Source organism: Homo sapiens, chromosome 16, assembly GCF_000001405.40.
Source record: "Homo sapiens chromosome 16, GRCh38.p14 Primary Assembly".
Lineage (NCBI taxonomy): Eukaryota > Metazoa > Chordata > Mammalia > Primates > Hominidae > Homo > Homo sapiens.
In genome coordinates this window covers 87,920,747-87,936,763 of record NC_000016.10, presented here as the reverse complement: position 1 = coordinate 87,936,763, position 16,017 = coordinate 87,920,747, and the positions used below count along the sequence as shown (strand labels likewise).

Sequence of the window (16,017 nt, the reverse complement as noted above, 5' to 3'; positions counted from 1 at the left end):
GCGTAATCCCCTGGTGCTCACGCAGCCCCACCGTACAGTTTTTCTAGCTCCCTGGCAGACTTGTGCTCCTGTTTGCCAGATCAAAGCCCAGTGACCTGAGTGGCCTGTCCCCAGCAGAGGCCACTAATCCCTGTGGACCCACCCTGTTGGGAAAGGCATGGGTTGAACTTTAACCATTAGGCTCAGGGGTTGGGATGAGTTTCTACAAAAAGAGGTGGGTACACGCCAGTCCACAGTGGTCCTGATCAAAGTGAGAACAGACAGCAGGGAACATCACCCTCTTCAGACTGGAGTCAGTGGGAACAGACCCAAGATGTTGGGGAGGAACACTTGGAAGACCTCAGCTTTCTCCTTCTTGGTTGAGCAGATGTGGGCCCCTCTCTGGAGTCGTTCGATGAGGCCAGGGCGATGGTGTTCTCAGCGTTCCTGTGCATGGCAAACCAGCAATAACACTTGTAAGTAGAGCCTCAAATTTCCTAAGATGCGACTGGATCCTTGTCTTAGCTGATGGGGTCTTTCGAGAGGAGAGAGGAGAGACCGTCCCGAGCCAGATGGGTTCAGATTTCCACTCCGTTTTTTTTTTTTTTTTTTTAAGATGGCGTCTCGCTCTGTGGCCCAGGCTGGAGTACAGTGGCGTGATCTCAGCTCACCACAACCTCCACTTCCCGGGTTCAAGCGATTCTCCTGCCTCAGCTTCCTGAGTAGCTGGGACTATAGGTGCATGCCACCACTCCTGGCTAATTTTTCGTATTTTTAGTAGAGACAGGGTTTCACTGTGTTAGCCAGGTTGGTCTCGAACTCCTAACCTCGCGATCCGCCTGTCTCAGCCTCCCAAAGTGCTGGGATTGCAGGCATCAGCCACGGCGCCCGGCCCTCTTTTTTCTTTTTTTGATGAAGTTTTGCTCTTTTGCCCAGGCTAGAGTGCAATGGCATGATCTCGGCTCACTGCAACCTCTGCCCTCCAGGTTCAAGTGATTCTCCTGCCTCAGCCTCCAAAGTAACTGGGACTACAGGCACCCGCCACTGCACCCAGCTAATTTTTTGTATTTTGGTAGAGATGGGGTTTCACCATGTTGGCCAGGCTGGTCTCGAACTCCTGACCTCAGGTGATCCACCCACCTTGGCCTCCCAAAGTGCTAGGATTACAGGCGTGAGCCACCGCGCCTGGCCACACTCCGTTTCTCTTGTATTTGGTGACCTTGGGTGAATCATTTAGCCTCCGTTTCAGGGGTCCTGGGGAGGGCAAGATGCTGGGAGCAGGCGGGTAGTCCGTGTTCGCACGGGACACACTGGCACGACTCACCATCCAGACCCGGCGGAATGGGCTGCACTAACCAGTCACGATCGCTCCTAAACTCTTCGGCAGAGAACGCTTTCAAGCAAACCTGTAACAAATAAACCACTCAGCCAGCTCTGCCAAGAAACTGCCCCGTGCCAGCCCCTCCTGGCTTCATGGTCAGTGCCTTGTGACCTTGAACGAGGCCCTTCCTCTTTCTGGGTCTCAGGTGCTTCCTCCGTAGAATGAGAGCCTGCTTTGGCAGCTGCCAAGTTCTCTTCTAACTGAAATCTTCCATGCATTCCATGTTTGGGCCATTGAAAGAGCATGGGCTTAGGAGCCAGACCCCAGGCATGCAGTCCGACTGACGCTTGCTGAGGTGGAGCCTCGGCAGGTCTTCACCCCCAAGCCTCTGTGTCCTTATCTCGAGATGGGGGTGGCCAGACTTTCTCTCCAGGGCCATGGAAGGATGACACGATGCGTGTAGAAAGCCTGGCCCACCCCAGACTCTGAGTGAGCTACACTCATTCCTCCTGTTGGGGTCCACACCTGTGGACTGGAGTGCAGTGGTGCGATCTCGGCTCACTGCAGCCTCTGCCTCCTGGGTTCAAGCGATCCTCTTGACTCAGCCTCCCAAGTAGCTGGGACTACAGGCGTGTGCCACCACGCCCAACTAATTTCTGTATTTTTAGTAGAGATAGGATTTCGCCATGTTGGCCAGGCTGGTCTCAAACTCCCGACCTCAGGTGGTCTACCTGCCTCGGCCTCCTAAAGTGCTGGGATTACAGGCGTGAGCCACTGCACCCACCCCCCTTTTTTATTCTTAGTACGACCGTCAAGAGCGCTAGCCTGCCTAGATTGGAATCTTGGCCCCACTGCTCTATGGCTGTTGCCCCTCTGTGACTTTCCTTTATTTTTTGAGACTAATTTCTGTCTTGTTGCCCAGGCTGGAGCGCAGTGGTGCGATCTCCAGCTCACCGCAACCCCCACCTCCCAGGTTCAAGCAATTCTCCTGCCTCAGCCTCCCGAGTAGCTGGAATTACAGGCATGCGCCACCACATCCGGCTAATTTTGTATTTTTAGTAGATACAGGGATTCTCCATGTTGCTCAGGGTGGTCTTGAACTCCCAGCCTCAGGTGATCTGCCCGCCTCAGCCTCCCAAAGTGCTGGGATTGCAGGCGTGAGCCACCACGCCCAGCTGTCCCCTCTGTGACTTTCTTAACTTCCCCCAGCCTTGGTTTTGTCGTCTGTAACAGGGGGTTGATAATGGTGCTTACGGCACAGTGTCGTTGGGAGAAGGGTCCGAGGTGGGGCCTGCAAAGGCTGGGGACAGCACATGGCTCCAGGAAGCCCTTGCTAGACGCCAGCTGCTGCTGTTGCTAACACAGGCAGCGGTGGGTGCCCTGTGTCTATTTAAGCATTTCCCTGTCAGTGGGCAGCAGGTAGCATTCCATTTCTTACTGTGGCAACATGTCCTCTTACATCGTGTGCTAGAGAGAGTCATATTCTGTATCGGCACCTAAATCCATTTACACCATGGTCCTCAACCTGTTCCCAGTGAACAGAGGGCTCTGCCAAATCATTTCAGAGTTCCACAAAGAGCAGAATATTCTGCCAAGCAGAGAAGATTGGAACATCATAAGGAATTCATCCTTCTATGTCGGTGTTTTATTTATGGGCATTCTGAAGATTATTTCACTTGGAAAAAGAATATTGTTACTAAAAATTATTGAAAAATCACTGGTGGTTTGGCCTTGAGAGAAAAGTCAAAGAGTTACAAAACGCTCAGTGATAATTTTAGAACCAGGCATGGGGGCTCACACCTGTAATCCCAGCACTGTTTTGGGAGGCTGATGTGGGAGGACAGCTCAAGCACAGGAGTTCAAGATCAGCCTGGGCAACATAGCAAGAACCCATCTCTAAAAAAAAAAAAAAATTAAAAAATTAACTGGACATGGTGGCACACACCTATCATCCCAGCTACTTGGGAGGCTGAGGCAGGAGGATCACTGACCCCAGGAATTTCAGGCTGCAGTGAGCCCTGATCAGGCCACTGCACTCCAGCCTGGGCTACACAGCAGGACCCTGTCTAAGAAAAAATAATTTTAGGGATCATTTAATGTTTTCTAGTCATGTTTCAGGGTGTGCACTGGCAGTGCCCATCTGTTCCTAAGTGTGTGATCAGCAACGTTACGTTGGTAACTTAAAATTGGCCATGGTGAAAGTATTTACACCACAGTCATTGGCAAACCCTAGAAATCAAAGATTCTAAATTCCTGGGAGAACGGCTTATTAAACCTCAACCAGCACACTGCTGCACATTTTTGGACATTTTACTGGCTATTTCCTGCTCAGGTGTGTGTGAGTCTTCTTGCATTTGGCTCCCCCCGGGCTGACCGTGGTTGGGCTGGGCTCCCCACTCTGGGTGGGTGCAGGCCTGCTCACTGCATCTCTCATCCTCCCTTCGCAGCCACCTGAGGCCTGTTCTTCTCACGGCGGAGGGCAGGCACTCACAGGGCGAGGCCAGCGGTGCCCATGTATTCCAAGCTACTGCTCACGTCATGTCTGCTAATGTCCCAGTGGTCAAAGCAGGTCACCAGGTGGCCAAGCCTAGTGACAATGGGGGAGGGGATAGCTCCTCCCATGGAGGTCAAGGGGGAAGGAATTTGAGATTTGCTGAACCACCATCAAACCTGGAGACTGAGAATGCATCGGGGAGATGGGGTCTCCTTCCAGACTGCGCCCGTGTGAATTAGGGGCAAATACTGGCCTCCTGGGGCAGGGGACTTGGCGTCTTTGATTCCATGTCCCCTGCACCTGGGCCAGGGCTTGACCCATAGGAGCAGCTCTGTAAATATTTGTTGACTGATTGAAAAAGAGGATAACATTTGTATTGCCTCCCATTGGAGCCCTACTGGAATTAGCACAGAACCTACGTTGCTGGGCACCAGGGTCGGCTGTGTGGAGATTGGAAGCCTATTCAGCATCCAGGTGGCGTCGCCTCCGTGCAGGTGGCAATGAGCCCTTTTGTTGGGTGACACACGCTGAGTTCAATGCGGGTGTTTCATTGTTGGTGGGCCCGTTGGTGCAGCTCAGCAAACAGAACCTAAAATTACCCGCTCTTCCCACAACCTGTGTCTCTGTGAGCCAGGGAAGCCTGCGTCTCTGGTCTAGATGAGCACCTCCTCTGTGGCATCAGTGGCTTTAGGGTTCTGTCTACATTCAGGTCTGTGTAGCCATGTTAAATGCCCCTTGCCCGGCAGGTAGGACTGGAGGCAGCGGCCGTGGGAGGGGGGGTAGAGTGCACTCAATCCTGCTTCCCGTTGGATGCAAGGGAGATTTGTGAGGCCTCAAAGGGGCTTTTTTTTTTCTTAGACGGAGTCTGCCTCTTGTTGCTCAGGCTGGCGTGCAATAGCGCAATCTCAGCTCACTGCAACCTCCACCTCCTGAGTTCAAGTGATTCTCCTGCCTCAGCCTCCCAAGTAGTTGAGTAGCTGGGATTACAGGCAGGCACGACCACGCCCAGCCTCAGAGAGGCTCTTTGGAGAGAACAGTCAATGGAAGTTCAGGGCTGCTGGTGTCGTTCTGAATTAAAGCAGATGCTGGGACAAAGGACACACAGACAGAGGCCCCTGTTGTGGCCGCCGGCTCCCGCGTCCATAGTTGTCTATCGCGTGAGAGAGAACAGAACGCATCTGCAGGATGCCGCAGGGCCCACTGTTTCCCAGCGCCGGCTTAGTCACTGCTTTCCGGCACTTAGCGAGTTCTGTGTGTGACCGCAGGGTTGTGCTGGGCTGTAAGGCAGGGGCAGGGAAATGCATCCTCCCCGTCTATCATGCGTGGGAAGGCACTCCAGGCCTTCCCCAGCGCCAGCGAGCTTATCTTCTCAGCAAAGCTGCTGTGATTCTACTCCCTTATTCTCCTTCCTGCAGATATAGAAACTGAGACTGGGAGAAGGTGGTAAATAATATGCCAGGTAACTCGGAGAGTGAGTGGGGAGAGCCGCCAGGGTTTTGGCCCACAGATGTGTCTTCCCCACTGCACAATGTGTAAAACTTAAAAAATTACTTGGCAAGGTCAGGCACAGTGGTTTATGCCTGTAATCCCAGCACTTTGGGAGGCCGAGGCAGGTGGATCACCCGAAGTCAGGAGTTCGAGAACAGCCTGGCCAACATGGTGAAACCCCGTCTCTACTAAAAATACAAAAAGTAGCCGGGCGTGGTGGTAGGCACCTGTAATCCCAGCTACTCGGGAGACTGAGGCAGGAGAATCACTTGAACCCGGGAGGCGGAGGTTGCAGTGAACTGAGATTACGCCACTGCACTCCAGCCCTGGCAACAGAGTGAGACTCAATCTCAAAAAAAAAAAAAAAAAATTACTTGACAACACCTGAACGTTGGGACACCCTACCTGAACATCTGTATTTCTATCTTCTCTTTAAAAATCCAGGCTGGGCGCAGTGGCTCACGCCTATAATCCCAGCACTTTGGGAGGCCGAGGCAGGCAGATCACAAGGTCAGGAGATCGAGACCATCCTAGCCAACACGGTGAAACCCCGTCTCTACTAAAAATACAAAAATTCCCCAGGCGTGGTGGCACATGCCTGTAACCCCAGCTACTTGGGAGGCTGAGGCAGGAGAATCGCCTGAACCAGGGAGTTGGAGCTTGCAGTGAGCTGAGATCGCGTCACTGCACTCCAGCCTGGGCCACAGAAGGAGACTCTGTCTCAAAAAAGAAAAAAAAAAAAAAAATAGATCCAAAGATCTGGCAGCAGAGGGCTCCCTCTCCTGCCCAGTGGGGTAGCAGCAGCCCCTCTCAGAACCACCCTGTGCTGTCCCCACGCCGCAGTCCCCACCGCTCTCTCCTCCCCACCCAGCCTGACAGGGAGGGCCCGTTGCCCACAGCAGCTTTACTCGTCAGCATCCTCTGCCCTCACAACACGTCCACTTTAATAGGGAAGCCAGGCGCCTGGGTCTGATGTTGATGGGATTCAGGCCTCAGGTTCCACTGGGGAAGGGTCCGGAGGGGGGAGGTCCTTGCCACTGGTCTACAAAGAACAGAGGAACACTCTGGAGACCTGGACACCAGCCTGGAGCAGCCAGAAGCTCTAGCAGAGACTCCCAGAGGCCAGGATCTCAGTTCAGACTGCAGCGAGCTTGCTGGATGTCTTGGAAAAGTGACTCCAGCCCCCGGCCCTCTGCTTTCCCACCTGTAAGGGGCAGGGGCAGTTAATCCACACTAGGGATTATTCATTCAACAAACATTCATAGTGCCAGATGCTGTCGGAGCACGGGAATGCACGGGCCAGAAAAATGACCAACCCCCTGCTGAGATTCTGGTTATGAGACAGACAGCAGACCCCTAGCAGATGTTACCATGCACGTTGATGGGGGAGAGAAAAACCAAGAGAGAAAATTAAAATAAACAGGCACACAACCATCCTACTATCTATCATCACCTTTATCTCCCATAGGGCTTTTTAACACTGACGAGTAGAAAAGATGCGATTTTAGAACAAACATTCTGCGATTTTGCAATCTTTAACTTAAAAATGTATTGTACATTCTACTGACTTCTGATGGTTTACTTATTTTTTTTTTTTTTTTTTTTTTTTTGAGACGGAGTCTCGCTGTATTGCCCAGGCTGGAGTGCGGTGGCGCGATCTCGGCTCACTGCAAGCTCCGCCTCCCGGGCTCACGCCATTCTGCTGCCTCAGCCTCCCGAGTAGCTGGGACTACAGGCGCCCGCCACCACGCCCGGCTAATTTTTTGTATTTTTAGTAGAGACCGGGTTTCACGGTGTTAGCCAGGATGGTCTCGATCTCCTGACCTCGTGATCCGCCCACCTCGGCCTCCCAAAGTGCTGGGATTATAGGCGTGAGCAACTGCACCTGGCCTGATGGTTTACTTATTAAATAACAGCTAAAAATTTTTTCAAGTTGATTAAAGAACAAAACACAGCAATGCGCTAACCATTTGACCTAGGTGGAGACGCATTTCTGACAGGACTATATATCTTTTTTTTTTTTTTTTTTTGAGACCGAATTTGCTCTTGTCATCTAGGCTGGAATGCAGTGGTGCCATCTCTGCTCACTGCAATCTCCGCCTCCCAGATTCAAGCCATTCTCCTGCCTCAGCCTCCCCGGTAGCTGGGATTACAGGCATGAGCCACCACGCCTGGCTAATTTTTGCATTATTAGTAGAGACAGGGTTTTACCATGTTGGCCAGGCTGGTCTCAAACTCCTGACCTCAGGTGATCCACCCACCTTGGCCTCCCAAACTACTGGGATTATAGGCGTGAGCCACCGCGCCCAGCCAGGGCTATACATCTTTATCCTTGTTTTCTAGACTTCTGTTGGATGCACCCTTTGACCTAGTGATTCTGTGGTTAGGAATTTGTAAGAAGAAAATAATCCAAGGCTGGGCGCGGTGGCTCACGCCTGTAATCCCAGCACTTTGGGAGGCCGAGGCGGGTGGATCACAAGGTCAGGAGATGGAGACCATCCTGGCTAACACAGTGAAACCCCGTCTCTATGAAAAAAATACAAAAAAGTAGCCAGGTGTGGCGGCGCGTGCCTGTAATAGAGCTACTCAGGAGGCTGAGGCAGTAGAACCACTTGAACCTGGGAGGCACAGGGTGCAGTGAGCCGAGATGGCACCACTGCACTGCAGCCTGGGCGACCGAGTGAGACTCCGTCTCAAAAAAAAAAAAAAAAAAAAAAAAAACAAAGAAAAGAAAATAATCCAGATGAGAATACAGAGAAAGAACAGCAACTTCATCACAGCTTTGTTTAATTGCAAGAAGTTGGAAATAACCTAAATATCATCACCAAATAATGGATTTTAAAAATTGTGTCGTAACTGTACAATGGAAACGTGCCACCATTAAAAAGAATTGTATATATATATTTTTTTCACAAAATGAGTTCACAATGTTAAATGAAAAAAGGCAACTTACAAGATAATATACACAGTAAAATCCTTGTTCATTAAAATAAAAAATCCTGGCCGGGTGTGGTGGTACACACTTCTAATCTCAGCACTTTGGGAGATGCCTGCCTCACTTTGGGACAGGCAGGAGAATCACTTGAGGCCAGGAGTTTGAGACCAGCCTGGGCAACATAGTGAAACCTCGTCTCTACAAAAAATGAAAAAGTTAGCCAGGCATGGTGGTGTTTACCTGCAGTCCCAGCTGCTCAGGAGGCTGAGGTGGGAGGATCGATTCAGCCTAGGGGTTCAAGGCTGCAGTGATTGACACCACTACACTCCAGCCTGGGTGGCACAGTGAGACCTGATCTCAAAAACGCACTATTCCATTTAATCCCTTTTAAGAACTGGTTTAGCTCAGGCCTGTGAAGGTGAGGACAGGAGCCACAGGACACGCCAGGCCTCTGGGGTGACATCCCCAAGCAAGGGGACTCTGTATTTGGAAGTGCTCTAAGGTTTCAAGAGCAGGATATCCCGAGGATCCTGTCTCTTAAGGAAAAATAAAAATAAAAGATCCAGCTTTCTCTTAGCATGAGGTTATTGCACAGAGAACAGGTGGGGCAGACACACACCAGGGGGTGCAATCATGGGACAGCTGCTTCTTCACTCATAAGCTTTTCTGCATTTTTTTTTTTTTTTTTTTGAGGCAGAGTCTCTGTCCCCCAGGCTGGAGTGCAGTGGCGCGATCTCGGCTCACTACCACCTCTGCCTCCTGGGTTCACGCCATTCTCCTGCCTCAGCCTCCTGAGTACCTGGGATTACAGGCGCCCGCCACCACACCCAGCTGATTTTTATATTTTCAATAATGATGGGGTTTTGCCATGTTGGTCAGGCTGGTCTCAAACTCCTGACCTCAAGTGATCCACCCACCTTGCTTCCGAAAATGCTGGGATTACAGGCGTGAGCCACTGTTCCTGACCTCTGAACTGTTTTCGATTAATGGCTCTTACTTTAAAAATGACAATCAAAGCAGTTTGAAATGAGCCTCGAGGAAGTAGGTAGAGGGGCTGCCACTCTGCTTAATTTTCTCCACACTGGGGTCTCATTTCCTCCTTGCCAGAGGGCTTGGAGAGTTGGGCTTCCAAAGCAGCTCCAGTTTCCACAGGACCACTAGGTGGGGTACCTGGGAGTGGGAAGGGAAGTTTCAAGCCCTTCCCGAGAGACAAGAGCCCCACTGCACTCAGCCTGCCTTCCCCACAGCGCCCTCCTCCACCCACCTGCCCTCCCCAAGGTCTATCCAGACTTCCTGTGGCTACTCTGTGACGAGGGCAACACAAAAGTCAAAAACCCATCAACACAGGTGGCATGGGCCCAGAGGGAGTTGCTTCCGGGTGGGAAAGAAAGTCCCCGAGTGGTGCAGAAAGGAGAGGAGCAGGCGAGTACCCTGTGGGCGTGCGTCGCTGCGCAGGGGCCCCCACGCGCCCGTTTCCCGTGGGTCAGTTTCCCATGAGCCAGGACGTGAGGGGTCTCGTGCGGCCGGGTTTCTGCCCTGTCCGTCCAAGACACAGGATGAAGCTCATGCCTCACTCAGGGTCTCCGTCTCTCTCCCTGCAGTGCACCCACTCTGGACGGTCCCGGTCTCCGTGCCAGGGGGCACCCGGCAGTCTCCTATTAACATCCAGTGGAGGGACAGCGTCTATGACCCCCAGCTGAAGCCACTCAGGGTCTCCTATGAAGCGGCATCCTGCCTGTACATCTGGAACACTGGCTACCTCTTCCAGGTGGAATTTGACGATGCCACCGAGGCATCAGGTGAGTGCCAGCTGGGGCTCGAGGGCTTTGTCCTCTCCCGTTGTTCTGGCAGCAGGGTCAAGAGCTTCGCGGAGAAGGGGGAGGAGAGCAGGAAGGTGCTGCTTTCCTTGTGCTGCTGGGGCAGGGACAGAGACTCGCTTGAGGGAGGACACACCTGGGGGATGGTGTGAAGGTTCTCGAGGGGACAGGAGCCTGGTGCTCACTTTACAGATGAGAATACCGCCGGCACCTGCATGCACACAGGTGCACCTAGCAAAGAAAATCCCCTTCCCGTGGGGCTCGCCTTGCAGCGGGTGGGAGGAAGAGACAAGCTCATTGAAATGCGAACACTTTGCGCGTCGGAAGAGGAACTCAGAAGGCAGCGGTGGCTGGACGCCCACGCTGGCCTTGATCATCTAGGCAGAGGCCTGCAAGGAAGTTGGGTCCACAGCAGGGCAGGGGCATTGGGAGCCTGGAAATGAGACCACTGCAGGCTTCAGCAGGCAGTGACCTGGCCGACATTTTATTTTATTTTATTTTATTTTATATTGAGACAGAGTCTTGCTCTGTCATTCAGGATGGAGTGCCATGGCGCAATCTCAGCTCACTGCAACCTCTGTCTCCTGGTTCAAGTGATTCTCCTGCCTCAGCCTGAGTAACTGGGATTACAGGTGTCTGCCACCATGCCCAGCTAATTTTTGTATTTTTAGCAGAAATGGGATGTCGCCATGTTGGCCAGGCTGCTCTCGAACCCCTGACATCAGGTGATCTGCCCACCTTGGCCTCCCAAAGTGCTGGGGTTACAGGCGTGAGCCACCGCGCCCGGCCCTCGCTGACCTTTTAAATGCATCCCACAGCTGCTGTGAGGACAGACTGAGCAGGCGGCTGGAGGGGAGCAGGGGTTAAATAGGAGGCAGTCCGGGGAGATGCAGGTGGGAGACGGTGGTGGAGGGACGGGGTGGGCTGGGAGGTGACTTGAGAGGTCCTGAAAGCCACCAAGCCCTTACTGGGTTCCAGCGCTTGGCCAAGGGCTTCTGCGGATCATCTCTTCAAACCTTCACCATGATTCTCGGAAGTTCCAGGCAGATGCTCTGAGGTATGGGAAGGTTCTCTCTATGCCTATTATGTTTGCATTTTTATCAGGACTGGCTGCCAGGTCCTACCTGGTGTTTTCCCAGCACCAGCTGGTGTCACTGTAAGCTGCTTTCATGCGGAACGCCTGCTCTCCCTCCTGCTGCGAGTCTGGAATTGGGCCACGTGCTGGGTATCAGGTGCCTATGTGAACAGCTCCCAATAAACCCTTGGGCACTGAGTTGCTAGTGAGCTCCTCTGGTACAGAACACGTCACACTGGTTCAGTGTTGCGGCTGGTTTAGGGGAGAATTAAGTCCGTCCTGTCCGTCTTCCCTGGTGAGGACTCCAGAAGCTCCTGCCTGGGGCCCTCCGGACAGCCCAGACACCTCTTCGCGTGGCTGATCTCGCTCTGCGTCCTTTTGCTGAATGTAGCTTAGCTCTGAGGGTGGCTCTGTGCTGGACCCAGTGACTCTTCCTGGGGAATCATCAAACCTGGGGGCCCCAAAGCAGCCGCAGCCACAGCTCCACATCCTCTCCGGCAGGCATCCCATCTGCCTCCTCCCGGGTGCGTCCCACGTGCCTGGGGATCTTGCTCACTCACTGTTGCTCCCATGAGGATGTAACTCCGCTGGGGCAGGTCTTTGTCTTATTTGATATTTTATGCGCCAGGCCTCCTAGGCACTCAGCAAATTGACGGATGAACAGAGTTGAAGGCATAAATGAGCCTCCTTTTCTTCCTCTGTGATTGGGGAGAGAAGGGATGGCCACTGCAAAGGCTGCAGGGAGAGAATCGAGGCCACCCCAGGCCGGCACTCAGCACCACATCTGCCCAGAAACTCCCACATGGCTGCCAGCATGCCCGGACCTGCTTCCACGCTTCTGCGTTATCCAAGCGGGACCAACAAGCGGGACGCTGCCCCCACGCTCACCTTCATGCCCTCTCGCTGTGCATGCGGAGGCAGCATTCACCTTCCTTACACTAAACATGCTCACCGGGGCTTCCCCAGCTCCTGCTGTCACGGGGAGGTCTGCCCAGCTGCGTCCCAGCTTCGTCATGACATGGTGCTTGCATTTCAGCCACTTAAATCTGCATATGCCTAGAAATTCTCAACACAGGGGACCTCAGTGAGCAGGCACGGTGCCCACGGATGAGTGCGCTGAGCCGTATGTGCAGGCCTTCCTGGAGCCCGGGGAGAGGCACCCCATGGAGAGTAGAGGCCCAGCCTGAGCCTGCTCCTGCCTCTAATGCACCTGCTGTTGGGGGCAGGGCGTGAGAGCTTCTTCTCTGTGCCAGGCCCTACACAGTGCATCGCAAACACCACGGCTTGGTCCTTCCAGTGTCTCTCTCTCCTTTCGAAGGTGAGAAGGAGCCACGCTGCCTGTATGCTCAGTGCCATTCACGGTTGCTTCATCAGGCTCCACTGCAACCCCCGCGGATGCTTCCCGTGTGGGGCTTGCTGAGTGCCAGCAGCAGTAACCCCAACTCCAGCCAACGTAAGCAAAGTGCAACTTCTTGGAAGGACAAGACCAGCTCGGAGAAGAAGAGGGAAAGTGGGACAACCAGATCTTGGGAGGCACAAACCAGGCCAGCTTCGGGGACCAGGGAGCAGGGATTTTTGCATTCATTTATTCAGTTGCCAATGGTTTTTCTCCCCTTGTTGGTCTGTTCCAAGTTCAAATGCCCAAGAAGCAACTCAGATTGGCTTTTCAGTTTTAATGTGGTTATATTATTTAAAAATTCTTCATGCAGCCACTTCAAAATATTGAAAAACCAAAAATAGTTCCTGAACTTTTAATTGTTTGGGTTAATATTTGTGTGAATGTATTAGTAATTTTGAGAACAATAGTTGTCATGGATACAGATGAGTTGCTATGGGATTCATATTCCTCCTGGATAATTTTTAGATGTGGCTGTGGGTCTCACTGATATTTTAATAACTGATTTGTTTCCTCTAAGTCGTAAAGTATAAACTTTGAAGGTTATTTTGGACTTTTGTTTGTTATTTTACAAAATAAATTCCCAAGGCAAAGGGTCTGGTGGCTGACCCTGAGCTGACACCCAGCCCTCAGCTGGTGGAGCATCAGGCACCCGGCTAATGTCCTCACCAAGACCTCATGCAGTGGGGAACAGGGGGCCCCAGGGGAATCCTGATACTACTCCTAGAAGGAGGAAGGTATGTGGACAGACCCCCTTTAAAAGCACTGCCAGGCTGGGCGAGCTGGCTCATGCTTATAATCCCAGCACTTTGGGAAGCCGAGGTGGGTGGATCACCTGAGGTCAGAAGTTCAAGTTCAGCCTGGCCAACATGGTGAAACCCCATCTGTACTAAAAATACAAAAATTAGCCAGGTTGGTGGCGCACACCTGTGGTTCCAGTTCCTCGGGGGACTGAGGCAGGAGAATCGCTTGAATTTGGGAGGTGGAGTTTGCAGTGAGCAGAGATCGAGCCACTGCACTCCAGCTTGGGTGACAGAGCGAGACTCCATCGCGGGAAAAAAAGCGCTGCCATCTATGAATAGCAGCATGGCACAAAACAGAAGCCACTAGAGAGAGTATTGCGGGACCCTCATTTTACGTAAGAACAAATGAAGGCTCAGAGAAGGGGCGACTGCCAAGGGTGAGTGACCTAGTACAAGGAGCCGGCTTCCGTTCCGACTGCAGATTGTAGCCCTTCACCAACTCACTTCTCCTCACCAAGGGCTTCACTTGCACCACTGCAGTCTTCCTTTCAACAGTCGTGGGAGATACAAACCAGTCCCCATTTTACAGATGTGAAAAAGAAGGCTTGGGGAACTCCTCGGCCAGAGGCCACAGAGGCCTCCCAATGGGACTCCGTGCTCTGCAAAGAAGGGAATCTGGGGAGCAGGCACCGTTTAGAGAAAGAATCTGCATCCAACATTCACAAAATCCAGCAGGAGGCCATCAGGAGCTGACCTCCATGCAGAGAAGGAAGCACCAGCACCCTGGGTGAGTGAGGCCAAGGTCACAGTCGGTCCCCAGGAGAGCCGGCAGCTGGCCCAGGGCCCAGACGGGCCTCTGGCTCAAGCCCAGCGGAGGCTGTGTCCAGTGGGCCTTGAGGTCGGCACGGGAGGCCCGTCCCTCACCCCTCAGGGCAAGAACAAACCCACGCCCCAACCCTGTTGGCGGTGGAGCAGGGACATCCCTGCAGTGCTTTAAGGGCACACTTGTCATTTTCTGTTCAGCTCATGGCAGCATGTGTGCCTTGGAATCTAGATGTTTCTGTATCCCCAAGGGAACCCAGGCTCAGGCTTTAGGCTGGAAAACAAGACAATTGCAGATGGTAATTATCCCCCAGGATCACAAGTCAAAGCCTGCTTTTGGTCAAGAATCTCAACCTGCGTGCCTGTCTGTGTGGCACACCCTCCTCAGGAACAGCCTCGCAACTTTCCCTGGAACCTCCCCTTCCCCACCGCACCTGGTCCTAGCGAGGATATTATTCACATCAGTGAATAAAATGCTAATTTTATGGGGGGCTGACAAACAGTTCTCACACACCAGTGTGCACCAACATCCCCTGGAGAGTGTGTTAGAGCACAGACTCCTGTCGGCCCGGCGGCTCACACCTGTAACCCCAGCACCGTGATAGGCCAAGGTGGGAGGGTAACGAGAATGCATCTCTACAAAAATAAAAATAAAAGAATTAGCTGGACGTGGTGGTGCATGCCTGTGGTCCCAGCTACTCGGGAGGCTGAGGCAGGAGGCTTGCTTAAGCCCAAGAGATTGAGGCTGCAGTTACCTGGGATTGTGCCACTTAACTCCAGCCTGGGCAACACAGCGAGATCCTGTCTCTCAAAAATAATAATAATAATAATAACAATAACACACAAAGGAACACAACCTGTGCTTCCTCTAGACATTCTGACTTGGCAGGTGCAAGGCAGATCCAAGAATCTCATGCCAGCAGGCTCCCAGGTGCCGCTGATCCCGCCAGTCCGTGGCTTTGTAAGGGCATCTGCTGTGTTGCTGGCTGGGCTTCCATCCTCCTGCCTCCTGGGTCCAACATTCCTGTTTTCCTTGGGAGCGAGCCCATCCCCGACTCCCATTCACGGGGTCCAGAAACAGGAGTGGGTGGGGACCTGGGCGTGGCCACTCAGAACAGCCCTGTCACTGGCTGCAGCAATTGGTACAGGCATGGGCACGTGACTCAAGACCGGCCAATGAGAGCCAAGGAGTTTTTTTCTAGGACGTATTTAAAGAGATTATTTCCATGGCTGTGCAAAGGCCAGCTGTGCCCCGCAGCAGGTGAGGGCCCTCCTGAAAAAGTGCCCACACGGGAGGGCAAAGCCAAGAGGGGGAGAAATCAAGGCCCAAGCCAATTTCGGGGCCTCTGAATGTAGCTGTACCTGAAGCCAAGTCAACCCCTGTACTAATAAGCCTCTTTTTAAAATCAGTTTAAGTTCCTATCACTTGCTTCCAAGAGTCCTGATAAAAGCAGACAAATAAAAGTGGCCAGGCGCGGTGGTCATGCCTGTAATCCCAACACTTTGGGAGGCTGAGGCAGGTGGATTGCTTGAGGTCAGGAGTTCGAGACCAGACTGGCCAATATGGTGAAAGCCCATCTCTACTAAAAAATACAAAAATTGGCCGGGTGCAGTGGCTCACGCCTGTAATCCCAGCACTTTGGGAGGCCAAGGCAGGCGGATCACCTGAGGTCAGGAGTTCGAGACCAGCCTGACCAACATGGAGAAACCCCATCTCTACAAAAAATACAAAAGTAGCCAGGCGTGATGGTGCATGCCTGTAATCCCAACTACTTGGAAGGCTGAGGCAGGAAAATCGCTTGAACCTGGTAGGTGGAGGTTGCGGTCAGCCGAGATCGTGCCATTGCACTCCAGCCTGGGTGACAAGAGTGAAACCTGGTCTCAAAAAAAAAAGTAAAAATACAAAAATTAGCTGGGCATGGTGGCAAGCACCTGTAATCCCAGCTA

The 16,017-nt window shown here is 52.7% G+C and overlaps 1 protein-coding gene across 7 annotated transcripts in view, besides 1 other annotated feature; it reads left to right on the top strand.

Annotated features, from left to right (window-relative positions):
- Positions 235-16,017, top strand: part of CA5A (carbonic anhydrase 5A) — a 54,981-nt gene continuing 39,198 nt past the window's right edge. For 6 of the 7 annotated variants that reach the window (NR_159799.1, NR_159798.1, NM_001367225.1 and 3 more), the window contains exons 1-2: positions 235-455; positions 9,819-10,016. Coding sequence is in view for 5 of the 7 variants with exons in the window: in NM_001367225.1 (NP_001354154.1) it covers positions 314-455; positions 9,819-10,016 (340 nt within the window). In the remaining 2 variants the exon portion in view is untranslated. Of the gene's footprint in view, positions 456-9,818; positions 10,017-12,427; positions 13,052-16,017 lie in introns of those variants that run through there. The other variant, XM_005256134.5, reaches the window with a different exon arrangement.
- Positions 11,922-12,161: an enhancer, noted in NCBI's record as "active region_11344". NCBI's record gives its function as "activates an Ori minimal core promoter by ATAC-STARR-seq in GM12878 lymphoblastoid cells {active_cell/tissue: GM12878}" and the evidence as "EXISTENCE:reporter gene assay evidence [ECO:0000049][PMID:35858748]".